At 37.3% G+C, this 17,847-nt stretch overlaps 1 protein-coding gene and 1 pseudogene across 18 annotated transcripts in view; both read right to left on the reverse strand.

Annotated features, from left to right (window-relative positions):
• Positions 1-17,847, reverse strand: part of PTBP3 (polypyrimidine tract binding protein 3) — a 162,168-nt gene that overhangs the window by 13,595 nt on the left and 130,726 nt on the right. For all 18 annotated transcript variants that reach the window (XM_047424272.1, XM_047424274.1, XM_047424273.1 and 15 more), the window contains 3 exons: positions 3,511-3,588; positions 790-929; positions 71-104 (listed from right to left, as the gene is read on the reverse strand). In XM_047424272.1, the coding sequence (XP_047280228.1) occupies positions 71-104; positions 790-929; positions 3,511-3,588 (252 nt within the window). The remainder of the gene's footprint in view (positions 1-70; positions 105-789; positions 930-3,510; positions 3,589-17,847) is intronic.
• On the reverse strand, positions 11,241-11,530 carry RN7SL57P (RNA, 7SL, cytoplasmic 57, pseudogene; annotated as a pseudogene).

Below are 17,847 nucleotides of genomic sequence, written 5' to 3' on the forward strand. Positions count from 1 at the left end.
ATTACTAAAAAAGTGAAATGTGCTCAATTCACACCTGTAGACAATAATAAAATAGCAAAAATGAACTTACCAAATAGGATAAAAAGCCCATGTGGTGTGATAAGCTGTAAAGGGTAACACAAAGTTAAGTGTCTGACAATTTAAGTAAAAATTGAAAATAAGTTTATTTATACTGTAATGGCAGTTGATTTTATTTTAAAGCATGGTTTTATATGCTTCTTCCGTATATACTAGTGATGAATTTTAATAGAAGTTCTTAAAACAAACTTAAGCATTTTAATTTGAATACAACCCTGGATCAGAAGCTACCATGGCTAGGCATGGTGGCTCACACCTGTAATCCCAGCACTTTGGGAGGCTGAGGTGTGTGTCGCTTGAGCCCAGGAGCTTGAGACCAGCCTGGGCAACATAGCAAGATCCTGTTTTTACAAAAGAATTAAAAAAAAAAATTAGCCAGGCGTGGTAGTGGGCACCTGTAATCCTAGCTACCTGAGAGCCTGAGGTGGGAGGATCACTTGAGCCCAGGAAGCAGAGGTCACAGTGAGTGAATGCAGCACCACACTGAAGCCTGAGTAACAGAGTAAAATCCTTTCTGAAAAGAAAAGAAGAGAAGAGAAGAGAAGAGAAGAGAAGAGAAGAGAAGAGAAGAGAAGAGAAGAGAGAAGAGAAGAGAAGAGAAGAGAAGAGAAGAGAAGAGAAGAGAAGAGAAGAAAAGAAAAGAAAGAAAGAAAAAAGTGCTACTATACCTTCTCCTGAAAGACTATTTACATATAATACTTTTCAACTCACATCAGGATTGAGATTTGTGACGAGTAGAACAGAATTTCCTGGTATACCACTAGCCCCAGGAATGGCCATCCTTCCAGTGACAGCAGAAGAGGTGATTGTGAGAGGACCAAGAGCTCCAGGAACAGCTGGAACTGATAGACCTTTTAAAAATACCAAAAGCATTTCATATTCTAATTATTTGAAGAACTGTAACACTTGATACAATTTAAGTAAATAAAGAGGAAAGGAAAACTACAGAAAGAAAATGTGTCAAGGCTACCATAAAGATACTGAAGGCCAGTTTTCTGCCCTACAGAGTCTGTCTGCAAGCTGAGCTCCTCATCTATTGACATTACTATACTTAGTGCTCTATTATCCACACAGTACTCTGCAGAGTAACTGAACTCACTGGGCCTAACGCTATTAGGCTTTTCAGAGGGTCTATCAACTACAAACACTCCCTCTGTTTCTTACAATAGATATATCCTAACACCCTTCTATCAAGTGTATATGCTTTTCATACTGACTTCTACCATAAAATCAGATATGTATTTTTTTAAAGTCCTTCAGCAGAAAGTCAAAAACATGCATGCTAGGTAGTGCTATATGACATTTTATATGGGAAAAACATTTTGTGACTGTATAAAATGCTATATTAAATATTATTCTGACCAAAATAGATATTTACAGAATTCAATATTCTTTTGTAGCAGAAATGTTCTGAGCTCTCTACTTCTCTAGGTACTATGGAAATCCTGAAAGCTCAGTAACAGCAGAATACTGACACTATACTTAAAACAGCACACTTTCCCACTATTTTGTGTTCTCAGCTTAAAACCTGTCTAAGGTAAAACCTCTAGTTTATGCAAAATGAACCAATTCCTTAATTTAATGACTCTTTAAAATAAACAGTCTGACCACTTCACCACAAATCATGTAATTAAATTATAATATATTTTACATTCAGCCTATTCTGCTTGATAATCTAAGAAGGTCATAACTACCATCATCCATACTGCTGAATTTTAAAACTGTGCAGACCACATTCTCAGGCTGAATACTACTGCACGAAATCAATAGCCTTCACATGACATATTCCCATGCCCCTCCAGTCCAACCCTGACTTTTGCATAACTTTTGCTGTTTGTATGTCTGTTATTCATGAGCTAAGAGCACAGTTGAGCTACACTGTAGGGTGTGTGTGTGTGTGTGTGTGTGTGTGTGTGTGTGTGTGTGTGTATCTTCTATCAGCTTAAAAGTCTTATCAAGTCAGAAGCCCTCTTTTATTCACTTTTCATCTTTCTTAATATTAATTAATATTTATATATAGAGTATATCTAAAAGAAATATCCAAAATGAGGGAAAACATATCAAAATGTCCACCAATTGTTAAACCTTGAGGAGCTTCAAATAAATAAACTATGTTTTTAACACAATAGGTAGAATATTCACTTAATTAAACATATGTTAAGATATACTAAAAACCACCAAGATGGTAAAATTTAAAACCTCAACCTTCATATCACTCTTTCTGTTAACTCCATCCTCTCCATCAAAAAGAGAGTAGTTATTGGCCAGGTGCAGTGGCTCACCCTTTAATCCCAGCACTTTGGGAGGCTGAGGCAGGCTAATCGCTTGAGGCCAGGAGTTTGAGACCAGCCTAGCCAACATGGCGAAACCCCACCTCTACTAAAAATACAAAAATTAGCTGGGCGTGGTGACATGCACTTCTAGTCCCAGCTACTCAGAAGGCTGAGGCATGAGAATCATTTGAACCCAGGAAGTGGAGGTTGCAGTAAGACAAGATTGCACCACTGCATTCCAGCCTGGGCAACAGAGTGAGCTATCTGTCTCACAACAACAACAAAAAAAAGAGAGAGAGAGAGTAGTTAAAATTCCCAGAATTCAAAGGTTAGAATATAAAGATTACTGCCAGAAAGCAGCTATGTTGCAATTTAAAATGTAGTTAAAGTCATGAATCAGTTTAAGTTGGAAATATGTGGAGTAGGCTTACCAAACTCTGTCATTCCCCTAATCACCAACCTCAGTGTTTTCTTTAGACACCAGAGATAAAACCATAAAGTAACATTTTCTCTTTTCCTTAAATTATAATCAAATTCATTTTGTTTACTGTTTTGAAAATAATGGGAATCATTATCAACGTATTAATCAACTCCTATCTCTTAATTACCTCCATTAGCTAAAGAGACAAAATATATATCCCCTGAAATAAACAGCATGCATACCCCTCTATCGTAATCTTCAAAACCCATTAATGACAAAAGGTTTTCCAAAGATGAATAGTGAATGTATAGTATGACTGCATATTATTTGTTGAGTACTGTCAAAGGCATTGAAGGCCCAAAGATAAGACAGGTCTGTTCAACACATAATTGATAAGTTTATCAGTAAAGACAGAGCAGCTTATACATTTTATATAACAACTGGAAAGGCAAATCTAAGGTTATTTAATGTAGTTAGCCTATAGTTATTTGTGCCAAAAGCAAACATAAATGATGCAGAACACATACTGATTACTGGAATTAAAAATAGGACCAGAGAGAATAATTTGTAAATAACAAGGAAGCTATATATCATACAAATCACTACACTTCTACAGCTGATATGCATAATGCTTTATGGTAAATTCTTCAAATATGATAACATTCTTCATCTTGGTAAGTTCCTAGAAAATATACAACTTCATTAAAAGTCATTTCAAATCCAACTTAAAAGAATCACCTGTAGCTTGAGGAAATCCAATGGCTGGGGCAAATCCAGCAGCCCCTGCATATGGTGAAGAAATTATACCCGGTGCACCTAATGGGAAAGAGAAGCTAAAGTAAACACACTACCTTCTATAAATATCGTTATCAAAGCAATATAAAATGGCTCTATGAAAGTATATTACTAACAAAGAGATTCTGTTACGGAGTAAAGATCTGTTCAACAAGTGATCTTTAACGTATAAAAAGAGCCTCTGCCACTTCCAAAGGCTAACCCTTTTCAATTGGGTTCAAGGACCAAGAGTACAGTTTAGCTATGATTTAGTTTTGGACTAGCCTGAGATTCTTTCTCTTATTTAGAGCAATATTTCATAATGAAAAATCAGTTACTTACTAAATGTTATTAAATCTGTATCTGTGGGGTAACTATGCTGATTTAAAAAAAAATGAGTTAAAATCCTTGCCTTTGAGAGGCTTACAAACTAAAAGTACGAATTATAGGAGATTCATGATGAGGGTCGAAAGGTACAAATTCAAATATATTACAATTGGAGTAAGAAGTGATCACAGAGGATTCACTGTGACTGGTCAGAGAAGTTTTCACTGGAGGTAAAACCTGAGCCAGATATTATGTAATTGAAGAAGCACAGTACTTAGTGTGTACTAAATGCTAAACAAATGCTGGTCTTCTCTTTCCTTTAAGAAGCCTGTTGACTGTATATCATCAACAAAAACGGGAGTTCCAATGGAGAGTCAGTTTTAGCAGACAAATGATTAATTTGGTTTGGGGGAACATCAAATTTAAGATGATGATGAGATATTCAAAAAGAAATGGCCAAAAGTGGAAATAAGGGCACAAACTCAGATTATTGTAAGTAAACACATAAATTTGTGAATTACCTGTGTAGAAATAAATGTGAAAGCCATACAAATGAGAGCTCCACTTAAAAAGAGCACAAGACAAGAAATGAAGAAGGCTAAAGATACAGCCTGGGGGTATAGGTACACTTAAGCAACAGAAGGAAAGGGAATATCCTACAGAAAAGAGGAAGAGACTAGCCCTAGAAACAGGAAAGAAACAAGGAATTATAGTACCTCAGAATCTAGAGGAATAGTTTCAAAAGGGGGATAGGGAGGACCTTCAATATAGGGCACAGAGAATGAGAAATGAAAAAGGTAAAACAACAGTATTACAGAAGTAGTGAGAGGTTGGACTGCAAACCTCAAAGGGGGGAGTTTGCTTTTTCAATGATAGGGAGATGACTGTATTTATAGGCACAAGTATGTAGGCTCTATTTTCCAGGAGTTAAAAACTCATATAATTTTATTTTCTTCATTAAAAAGAATTATTTAATATAATTTATTAAATATGTAACTAATTATAGTAATTCAAGAAAATACCGTCACAAGAGACTGCAGGGATAGAATTAGCACAGAGAATTGACACTGAGATTCAAAAAATGAGAGTAACTGACAGAATAACTGATGAAGTAAGAAGGGAGAGTGAAATCCATTTAACAAATACATGTTGAGAGCATATCATGAGCTAAGCATTCTAGTGAGGAGTCTGAACAAAGCAGACAAGATTTTGTCTTTGCTAAACTTACACACAAGCAAGCTCAAGATCATAGGTAAAATGATTCATTTTTACAACAGAAAACACTGTATTAAAGGCACAAAGGAAGACTTCACAAAGAGGCCTCAAGATAGACACAAGCAATTATGAACATCTACACTAGAAAGGCTAAAAACAAAGTTAAACAATAAGGAGAGATACGGTGGATATTGTATTATTGTTGCCAAATATTCACTTGCCCCCTTCTATATAACTGGCCAAACATGACTTGCAATGCCTTTAGGTGGAAGAGCACATATTTCCATGCAGTTCACACTGGGCTTGATCATGTCATGTTTTTCCCAAAGAATACTGGTGGAAATGACACATGTTCACATGTTACTTCTACACAGAGCCTTTAAATGGCATTAAGGGTTTATATCTGCTCCCTTATTCTCGACTCTCTGCCCCAAGAATGCCATGTCTCAAAAAGGAGTGGATCTTTAGCGTGGGCCCTAGATAAAAAAGGCAAGTGGAGGATGGCTGCAAGAGCTTATTCACAGCTGCCGAGGCATGGGAGAGAAATAAACATTAATTTCTATCAACCACTGATGAGGGGGAGTAGTTGTAAAGGACAGCAAAGTGGCTAACACAGATGGCTACAGAAGGGGTGAGCAGAGAGAGCTCTAGCAAGCAGTAGATTTGAGAGAAATGAGGAAAGATTTTGAGATAACTATCATAGAACATTAAATAGAAATACATAAAAGGACTGGCAAACAATCATCAAGACCAAATTTGAATAACTGTTTCCATGTAAAATAAGATTAATAAGAACATTTGCTAAAATTTGACAAAACACACATTTTTCAAGTGTCTATATAATCCACACTCCCTAAATGAGCAGAAACAGAAACATCATATAGCAAAGTAACCTGTTAGACAGTGGATTCATATCTTCATTTCAGAATGAGGCAATTACACAAACCTTTAAGAAAAATGTTTCAGATCCGAATAAGAACGGATTCTTCACATTTGGAAAATGTACCACCATGATAGCAACCAAGGCAATACGAATTAATACATAAGATAACATTTTAACCCATGAAATCAGTTTATCACAGTGTTATTTGAAATAGCAAAATCCTAAAGAAACAAGCTTAATGTCTAAATTGGAGAATAATTAACATAAACTAACCTTACTGCAGAAAAACGCTCAATGAACAAGTATAAAGACTTTCTTTAAAAAACCTAAAAGTTGCCGAGATTATAAGGAGTAACTAGGCCCAAACTCTAACCCTGTGACACTGAGCTTTGGTTTGATCAGCTCATGGGGTAGCAGGCCAGAAGCAAATCCCAGGGTTAGCCCACAGTGAGAAGTCAACAGGATACTCTCACTGCATTAACCTATTAATATAAGCTGAAAATAACCTACCCTATCTACTATTCCTCCCATCTTCAAAAGACTACAAGGAAGGTTTGCTTTGTGACCAGCAGAGAAGGGAGAAAAGTCCCCTGAAAAGTTCTAACCAAAAGGAAGCTTTCACAAAAATTTACAGTCCAAATTTACATTTCTTGGAAGTCCAAAGGAAAATCAAGCTATAAATTTAGGTTGAAATGATCCTGAACGTAGAGCCTTTAATGCTGCAGGCAAGCAAATTCTCTCTGGAGGAACAAACACCTTAATCCTGAGCCTCAAAGGACAATCATAATTAATTCTCCAAGTAAAGTGAATAACTCATCCCCACCCTCCCCCACAAAAAAACCCAAAAAGTCAGAAATATCTAAGCAGAAAGAAAATTGCAAAAAATCTGAGATACTAAATTAAGCAGATGAAGATTTAAATAGTATGTTTGAAAAAAGACATACAAAAAAAATCTGTAGTACAGGAGACACTTTTTAAAAATGAACCAAATAAAATTTCTAGAAATGAAAGCCACAATTGCTAAGATCTAAAATTATAGGACAGATTTAACGACAATTAAACCAAGCTGAAGAGCGTCATCAGTGAACTGAAAGTTAGGTCCTAAGAATTATTCCAAATGCAGCTCAGAAAGAAAAGTTAAGTTTTACACACTGAGGACAGTATGGGGGTATAACATGTCTAATCAAAGCTCCAGAAAGGCAGGAGAGAAATAGTGTTAAGGGGGAATATATGAAAGGATAATTTCTAGAACCACTAAAAATAACAAACAATCCACTGACTCAAGAAGCCCAATGAGCTCCAATTAGAATAAAAATAAATCCTTAAATGAATACATCATATTGAAAGTACACAAAAGAAAAAGGACACCAAAAAGGAAAATCCCTAAAGAACAGCCAGAAAAAACAGAGCAGCAGTTAGCTTGACAACTGACTTTCTAAGAGCAACAATGGACATCAGAATACCACAGAATGGTATCTTTAATACGCTGAAAGAAAAAATACCTGTCAACCTAGAACTTTATACTCAGCAAAAATAACTCTTAAAATTGATTAAAAAAAGAAAGATATTTTGGGGCAAATAAAAACTTCAAATATGTTACCACAGACCTTTCCTAAGTGAAATACTAAAAAGGATCCTCAGGCAGAATATAAGTGTTTTCAGATGGCATGTCTGAGTTGCAAGAAGGAATGAAAAGCCTAAAGAGTTATATATGGTTTAATCACTGATTGTACAAAACAATAATAACAAATTGCCAAGACTAAAGTCAAATAACATAAAAATATAATAACATCACAGGTAAGGAGGAGGCAAAAGGAGTCCAAGTGTCCTAATTTCTTCTATTATGTAAGAAAAGGTACAGCTATTAATTAACATTAGATTTTGGTAAAATGTTTGAAAGTTAAAAATCTAGATAAAAACAGAAGCAGTGCTAAACTTCAAACCAGTAGTGGAAAAAACAGAATAATAAACATTTATTCAGCAAATATTGTTTGCATGGTTATTTTGCTTCCAGAATTAGGAAATATTAGTAAACTGAATAGGCATCCTACTCCCCAAGTCTGCCCTGGTGAAGTTTGAGAGATTAAAAACAGAATAAACAATACACAGAATACGCAATAAGTTAATTGTATGGCATGTAAGGTGACAATTACTATGGAAAAAAACAGGCTGGGCATAGTGACTCACACCTAGAATCCCAGCACTTTAGGAGGCCAAGGTGGGTGGGTCACTTCAGGCCACGAGTTCAAGAGAAGCCTGGAAAACATAGTGAGACCCCGCCTCTCTATAAAAACTTTGAAATTAGCCAGGCATGGTGGTATCTGCCTGTATTCCCAGCTACTCAGGAGGCTGAGGTGGAAGGATTGCTTGAGCCCAGGAGTTCCAGGCTGCAGTGAGGCATGGTTGCACCACTGCACTCCAGCCTGGGTAACAGAGTGAGAGAGATCTGTTGAAAGAAAGAAGAGAGAGGAAAAAAGAAAAGAAAAGAAGAGAGGGAGGGGAGGGGAGAGGAGGAAGAAGAAAAGGAAGGAAGGAAGGGAGGAAGGGAGGAAGGGAGGGAGGGAGGGAGGGAGGGAGGGAGGGAGGGAGGGAGGGAGGGAGGCAAGGAAGGATCGATCAGGAGAATTCTGAGGAAGACCTTGACAAGACAGGTCAAAGAAGGCAGATGAGAAAAATCTCTCTCAGTGTACCTGGGAGAAAAGTACTCCAGGCAGAAGAAATAACAAGTGGAACGATCTGGAGGTTGGAACACACCTAATATGTTTGACAAACAATAGGGATTTCAGTATTGAGGGGTAGAAGGATGAAGTAGGGGAGCACAAAAAAAGATTTGTCAAAAAGAAAAAAGATGGTATAGGGCCTTGTAATCCAATGTAAAGATGGGGGCATCCACTCCAAAAGAAACAGAAACCTTTGGAGGGTAGTCAGCATTAGAGTAAAATGATTTGACTTAATTTATTTTCTAACTTATATAGAATACAATGTACATATATACATGTGTATGTACTATATTATGTATATCTATCTATGTACAATGTGATGAGTTTTGATATACTGTCATGTGCAGCGGAGCGGTCAATGATCCACATATACAATGGTGGTCCCATATGATTATAATGGAACTGAAAAATTCCTATTGCCCAGTAATGTTATAGCCATTGTAACACTGTAGTGCAACATATTCCTCATATGTTTGTAGTGATGCTGGAATAAAACTCTATAAAAGTACAGAAAATAAAATTGTGTACAGTATATAATACTTGATAATAAAGAATTATGTTATTGGTTTATATACATACTATACTTTTATTATATAGTATATACTATACTATACTTTTTATTGTTATTTTAGAGTGTACTCCTACTTGTTTTTTTTTTTCTTAAAACTTAACCGTAAAACAGCTTCAAGCAGGTCCTTCAGGAGGTATTCCATAAGAAAGTATTGTCATTATAGGAGATGACAGCTTCATGCATGTTTACTGTCCCTGAAGACCTTCCAGTGGGACAAGATGTAGAAGTAGAAGACAGTGATATTGACAATCCTGACCTTGTGTAGGCCTAGGCTAACGTGTGTATGTGTCTTAGTTTTTAACAAAAAACTAAAAGTTGAAAAAAGTTTAATAGAAAAAAGTTTACAGAATAAGGCTACGAAGAAAAAATATTTTTGAACAGCTTGTAAACAAAAATATTTTCTACACAATGTGCTTGTGTTTCAAGGTAAGTATTATTACGAAAGAGTCAAAAGTTAAAAATAAAATTAAGAGTTTATGAAGTTAGAAAGTTGTAGTAAGCTAAGGTTATTTTATTTATTTGTTTGTTTTTTATTTTATTATTATTTTTTTAAATGGAGTCTCACTTTGTCGCCCAGGCTGGAGTGCAGTGGCACAATCTGGGCTCACTGCAGACTCCGCCTCCTGGGTTCAAGCAATTCTCCTGCCTCAGCCTCCCAAGTAGCTGGGATTACAGAAGCCCTACACCACACCCAGCTAATTTTTGTATTTTTAGTACAGATGGGGTTTCATCATGTTGGCCAGGCTGGTCTCAAACTCTGGACCTCAAGTGATCCACCTGCCTTGGCCTCCCAAAGTGCTGGGATTACAGGGTGAGCCACCATGCCTGGGCAAGCTAAGGCTAATTTATTATTAAGGAAATAAAAATATTACTTCCAGTCCTGCAACCTCTACTCATAGGAAGTGCCCTATACAGGTGTACCATTTTGATCTTTTATACTGTATTTTTACTGTACCCTTTCTATGTTTAGATACACAAATACTTACCATATGTTATAGCTGCCTATAGTATACATTATGGTAACATGCCATACAGTCTAGGTGTTTAGTAGGCTATAACATCTATGTTTGTTTAAGTACACAACAAAACCACCTAATGACACGTTTCTCAGAACGTATCCCTGTGGTTAAGCAATACATGACTGTATATTTAAAGCATGTGAAATTATCATCACAATCAAGATAACAAATATTCCCATCATTCCTGAAAATTTTCTCATGTCCCTCTGCAATCTCCCTCTCTCCAAACCTTGTCCTCAGGCAACCACTGATCTTTCTCACACTATAGATTAGTTTGCATTTTATAGAAATATATACAAACAGAATTATAGAATAGGTGTTCCCTTCTGTCTGGCTTCTCTTGTTCAGCATAATCCCTTTGCCTTTATCACTACTTTATTCCTTTTTATTGCTGAATAGTACTTGATTGCATAGAAGGACCACTTTTATCTATTCAACTGTTAGTAGAATACTTCTAGATTTTGGCTATTATAAATAAAACTGCTATGAACATTTGTGTTTAATTAACACCTAATATTAAATCACATTTTAATTAATTTATTTATATATTTTTTAGAGATGGGGTCTGACTGTGTTGCCCGAAATGGAGTACAGCAGCTATTCACAGGCTTGATTAGAGCACACTCAAGCCTCAGCTCAAACAATCCTCCTGCCTCAGCCTCCCATGTAACAGGAACTACAGGTGTGCTGGCCACTGCACCCAGCAACATTTTTAAATTTCACAGATCACCAGGCTAGGTAGGAGCCAGAGGTTTTGCCAACTTGGAGTGAGTAATGTTTGCCTTTTGGTTTTATCTTTCAAGCAGCGGAGCACTAAAATAATTTACAATATGTAAATTATTTCCTTTTATGGTTTGTGCTTTCTGTGGTCTAATAAACTTTGCATATCTCCAAGTTACAAAGATTTTCTCCTATGTCTTCTTCTGGAAATTTTATAGGTATAAGTGTATTTGTTTTTAAGAGACAGGGTCTTGCTATGTTGCCCAGGCTGGAGTGCAGTGGCTATTCACAGGCACACTACCACTACTGATCTACATGGGAGTTTTGACCTCCTCTGTTTCTGACCTGGACCAGTTCATCCTTCCTTAGGCAACCTTGTGGACCTCCTCTCCTGGGAAGTCACGATATTGATGCCGAACTTAAGTGTAGACATCTGATCAGCACGGAGCACTATAGCCCAGAACTCCTGGGCTCAAGTGATCCTTCAACCTCGGCCTCCTGAATAGCTGGAACTACAGGTCCACGCAACAAATTTTACATACAGGACTAAGATCCATTTCAATTTAATTTGTCAGTATGGACAGGATAATGGTTAATACTTTTTATCCCCAATACCAATATCCACTTATACAAAACCGACTTGTTGAAAGACTTTCCCTTTCCCTAGTGGATTAGATTGGCAACTTTGTTGAAAATCAATTGACCACATCTGTGGATCTATTTCTAGCCTCTCTAATATGCTCCATTAATCTATATATCTATCCTTCTGACATTACCAAACTGGCTTGATTACTGCAGCTCTATATTAAGTCTTACAGCTTAAAAAAAAAAAAAAAACAGTTTTCAGCAGCTCTACTCTAAATGCTTTCTTTTCCCATTTCTATATTAATTTTAGAAGTTTGGTCTATCTTAGTTAAACAAGAAAAAGAATTAAAGTCCCAGGGATTAGGCCAGGCGAGGTGGCTCACGTCTGTAATACCAGTATTTTGGGGGACCAAGGTGGGTGGATCACTTGAGGTGAGGCATTTGAGACCAGGCTGGCCAACACGGTGAAACCCCATCTCTACTAAAAATTCAAAAAATTAGCTAGACGTGGTGGCAGGCACCTGTAATCCCAGCTACTCAGGAGGCCGAGGCATGAGAATTGCTTGAACCCGGGAGGCAGAGGTTGCAGTGAGCCAAGATTGTGCAACTGCACTCCAACCTGGGCAACAGATCGAGACTCTGTCTCAAAAAATAAAAAAAGCCCCAGGGATTAGAAGAAAGGATATAAACTGACATTATCTGTAGATGATATGACTATGTGTACTGAAATGTAAAAAGAATCCACGGGCAAATTACTGGAATTCATAAGAGTTTATCAGGGTTTCTGAGTTATGAAATCAAGAGATAATAATGTTGTACTTCTGTATTACCAACAGTTAGAAAACAAAACAGTAATGATACTTCAAACTTACATTGGGCTTATGTTAGGTATCATTTTAAACTCTTCATGTACATGAGCACATTTAATCTTCACAACCCTACCAGTTAAGAACTGTTACACATTACACATAGAAAGAAAGAGAAATGCAGAGTAGTTAAGTAACTTGCCCAAGATTACACAGCTCATAAATAATAGGTCCAGAATCAGAATACAAAAAGTATGGTTCTTAGACACCACACTATGCCATGTAAAATAAAAGTAAAAGTAAGAAGTTCTCAGGAATAGCAGGGCACAGTGGCTCACACCTGTAATCCCAACACTTTGGGAGGCCGAGACAGGTGGATCACGAGGTCAGGAGATCAAGACCATCCTAGCTAAGACGATGAAACCCCATCTCTACTAAAAATACAAAAACCATGGTGGCATGCGCCTGTAGTCCCAGCTTCGGGAGGCTGAGGCAAGAGAATTGCTTGGACCTGGGAGGCAGAGGTTATAGTGAGCCGAGATCATGACACTGCACTCCAGCCTGGGCAACAGAGTGAGACTCTGTCTCAAAAAAAAAAAAAAAAAAGTTCTCAGGAATAAGTGCAACAAAAAATGTGCAAATCTTTAAGGAGAAAAGTCACCCAACTTTACTGAGAGACATGAACAAACATCCAGGCTGCAGTGGCTCACGCTGGTAATCCTAGTGCTTTGGGAAGCAGAGTTTGGAGGATCACTTGAGACCAGGAGTTTTAGACCAATCTAGGTAATACAGAGGGACCCTACCTCTACAAAAAAATTTTTTTTTTAATTAGCAGAGCATGGTGATGTGTGCCTGTGGTCCTGGCTACTCAGGAGGCTGAGGTGGGAGGACTGCCTGAGCCTGGAGGTCGAGGCTGCAGTGAACCATGAGTGCACCACTGCACTTCAGCCTAGGCGACTGAGCAAAACCCTGTCTCAAAAAATAAAAAAATAAAAAAAGTCCAAATGAATGGACAGATGCACAATGTTCAAAGACTGGAAGATTCTATTGTAATGATGTCAATTATCTTCAACTCATTTGTAAATTCAATGTAATCCCAATCAAAACCCCAATAGCTACTGCTGCTGCTTTTTTTTTTGGAACTCAACAAGCTGATCTTAAAATGCTTAAGAAATACAAATGGTCAAGAATTGCCAAGATAGTCTTGAAGAAGAACAAGATAAAAAAGACTTTAGCAGAGATTCAAACTTCTGGTAATGACAAAAGGAGACAACTAGACCATTGTAGCAATGCCCAGAAAAACAAGTCTTGTAAGTACTAAGCTCAGCCGGGCACAGTAGCTCATACCTGTAATCCCAGCACTTTGGGAGGCCGAGGCGGGCAGATCACTTGAGGTCAGGAGTTCAAGACCAGCCTGGCCAACATGGCAAAACCCTGTCTCTACAAAAAATACAAAAAAATTAGCCGGGTGTAGTGGTGCACATCTGTAGTCCCAGCTACTCGCAGGCTGAGGCATGAGAACTGCTTGAACCCAGGAGGCAAAGGCTGCAGCGAGCCCAGATTGTACCACTGCATTCCAGCCTGGGCAGAGCGAGACTCTGCCTCAAAAACACAAACAAACAAAAACTAAAGTTAGTAGTATGTGTTTGCAATTCCGAAACCACTTCTGTGTAATCTAAGATTGAGCAAATAAGTAAACATGTTGAGGCTAATAGGAATCACATTTCTTATTCTTGAAGAGTTACCAATATGTAAAGGGTGCTGGACAGGAATCAGGATTTTCAGTTAAAATTTGTTTTTTAAAACACACACACACACACAGAAACATATATTTATGAAGCAAACATAGACACATGTCCTAGTCATGTCCATTTAGTCATGCCCTATTGTCAATGAGCACATCTAATGTTTAGGTATTGATTTTTAAATACCATTTTCCCCTAAAAGAAACCAGGGCTCATTGAAGAAATGGCTGATTCCAGTGCCAGGTTGGGTAAAGAAGATCTGGAATATCTAGTGCTAGAAAGAAAGGGAGTGCTCCAATTATGAGGGTGGCATGTCAAAAGGCCACAGAGCCAGTGTGAACGGGCTCCTACTGGCCAAATCAGGGGTAATTTGAACATAAAATGAAAAACGAAAGTAGGAAATTATACCCTGTAGAATAAAATAAGAATCTATGAGTCCTTACTGACATGAAATAAATGAATGAAAGTGATGATAAGAAACCTCATCCTCTCAAAGTGCTGGGATTACAGGTGTGAGCCACTGTGCTCAGTCAAGAAAAACATTTTTTTTTTTTGAGATGGAGTCTTGCTCTGTCGCCCAGACTGGAGTACAGTAGCGGGATCTTGGTTCACTGCAGCCTCCACCTCCCAGGTTCAAGCAATTTTCCTGCCTCAGCCCCCCTAGTAGCTGGGACTACAGTCACGTGCCACCACGCCTAGCTAATTTTTGTATTTTTAGTAGAGACAGGGTTTCACCATGTTGGCCAGGATGGTCTTGAACTCCCGACCTCAATTGATCCACCCGCCTCGGCCTCCCAAAGTGCAGAGATTACAGATGTAAGCCACCGCACCCAGCCAAGAAAAACATTCTTTATAATAAAATGCTAGCTAATAAAGGTAGAAGAAATGATGGAATTAGCAAATTATCTCATGGAAACCATCACAGTAACAAATAATTTTGGCAACAGATGTGAAAAATAAAAGGTAGGACAGGCGCGGTGGCTCACGCCTGTAATCCCAGCACTTCGGGAGGCTGAGGCGGGCGGATCACGAGGTCAGGAGATTGAGACCATCCTGGCTAACACGGTGAAAGTCCATCCTACTAAAAATACAAAAAATTAGCCGGGCATAGTGGCGGGCACCTGTAGTCCCAGCTACTCAGGAGGTTGAGGCAGGAGTATGGTGTGAACCCGGGAGGCGGAGCTAGCAGTGAGCCGAGATCACACCACTGCACTCCAGCCTGGGCAACAGAGCGAGACTCTGTCTCAAAAAAAAAAAAAGAAAAAGAAAAAGAAAAGGTGAAAAGTGGTAAGAACAGGGTATTTATCATCTCAATCAGTAAATTCGTTACAAAGGGAAGAATAGTAACATTACAGGGAAGAAATCTGCAAGACCACTTTAATAAGTGATCAAAGCTAACACCACAAGAAAAAGGATAAATTAACATCATGTGTCTCCTAATGTAATGAAGTAGGAAAGACACAAAATTATTTCTGCAGTATTTCTGCTCAAAAATGTATACAATGATGAGGAAAACCCAGACATCTATATTGAAAGACATTCTACAAAAAATATCCTCCCTAGACTCTTTAAAAATCCAACAGTCCAACCTGGGCAACACAGTGAGACTCTGTCTCTACAAGAAAGTAAAAATAAAAATTAGCCGGGTATGATGGTGAGTGACTGTAGTCCCAGACACCCAGGAGGCTGAGGTACAAGGATCACTTGAACCCAGGAGGCTGAGGTACAAGGATCACTTGAGCCCTGGAGGTTGAGGTTGCAGTTAGCTGTGATCACATCACTGCACTTCAGCCTGGGCAACAGATTAAGTCCCTGTTTCAATAATAAATAAATAAATAAATAAATAAATAAATAAATAAATAAATAACAATAGTTATGAAAGACACAGAATAAAGAAGTGTTCTGAATTAAATGACTCGAAAGAGACATGACAAATAAATTAGCCCGATACTTGTTTGGATCTTTACCAGAAAAGGTTCTGTCATAAAAGACATTATTTTCACAACTGGCACTTTGGGAGGCTGAGGTGGGAGGATCACTTGAGCCCAGGAGTTTGAGACTAGCCTGGTTGAAACAACAAGACTCCATCTCCACAAAAAAAATGACAAAAAAAAAAAAAGAAAAAGCCAGATTTAGTGTTGTTCACCTACAGTCTAGCTACTTTGGAGGCTAAGGCAGGAGGATCGCTTGAGCCCAAGGTCAAGGCTACAATGAGCTATGATCACGCCACTGCACTCTAGCCTCGAAGACAGAGAAAGACTATCTCAAAACAAAAAGTCTATGGATTAAAGGACTGTATAGATGTTAATTTCCTAACTTTGATAATTAAACTGTATTTAGTAAGAATGTCCTTGCTCTTAGTAAATACACAATGATTAATTTAGACATAAAGGGACATCATATCTGCAACTTACTCAAGTGGTTTGGAGGTGGGAGAAAATAAATATACACACACATGCATACACAAATATAGGTAGTGTATATATTATATATGTATATACATACATACACATAAATACTCAGATGATCTAAGTAAATATGGCATGATATTAACAATAGGGCAATCTGAATAACAGATACCCAGAAGTTCTTTGTACTACTCTTGCAACTTAATTTCAGACAAAATTTAATTGCAAAGTTTAAATTATTACTAAAACACCATAAACTTTAGAATATAAGTAAATATATTTATGACCTTATATCACAAAGGATTTCTTAAATAAGACACACAAAAAAGCACAAATGTAAAGGAAATAAGAAACAAACTTGACAACGTAAAAGTATCATTAAGAGAATAAATCAACAAGCCAAAACTGGGAGAAACTATTTGCAACCCATATAACAAACAATGGACTAGTATCTGGAATACATAATGAATTCCTACAACTAAGTAAGAAAAAAAGGAGAAATAAAACACAAAAACAGACAAAAGAATTGCACAGGGATGGGGGCGAGAGGTAAAAGACTACACACTGGGTACAGTGTACACTGCTTGGGTGATGGGTGCACCGAAATCTCAGAAATCACCACTAAAGAACTTATTCGTGTAATAAATAAATAAATAAAACAAAATGTATGAGAGGATAAATAATAAAAATATGTCCAACCTCATTAGTAATTAGGAAAATGCAAGTGAAAACTATGTTAAGATACCATTTACCACACACTAAAATAAAATTTTTTTTAACCTCACTCCTTTCAGTAGGAGATGGCTTAAAAAAATTATTTTAATCTCACAATGCAGTTATAAACTGGTGCAATCACTTTGAAAACTGGCATTATGTAATGAAACTGAAGAAATATGTTCTCTATGACCCAACAATTCCTTTCCTATGTACTTCTTAGAGAAAACTCTTGTCCAGCAGGAAAGAATGTTCATAGTAGCATCAAACTAAAACAACCAAACTATTTATCAACAATAAAATGGATAAACAAACCATGATCTATTATTCTTCCAATGGGATACTACAGACTTGACCGTACTGAGAATGAATGAGCAACAGCCACATGTATGAATATGGATGAATCACCAAAGACATACAGGGCAAATAAAGTCACAGAAGAAAACCAGCATGAGTCCATTTATGTAAGGTTCTAAATACAGCTTTAAAATTTTTCTAATGCTTTAAAGTATTGAATGCTTTAAAAAATTTTTAAGTTGCATTTAGGGATATATAATGAGTGGTAAAAAAACAACAGGAAAACAGAAA

The sequence above is a fragment of the Homo sapiens genome, chromosome 9 (assembly GCF_000001405.40).
Source record: "Homo sapiens chromosome 9, GRCh38.p14 Primary Assembly".
Taxonomy (NCBI): domain Eukaryota; kingdom Metazoa; phylum Chordata; class Mammalia; order Primates; family Hominidae; genus Homo; species Homo sapiens.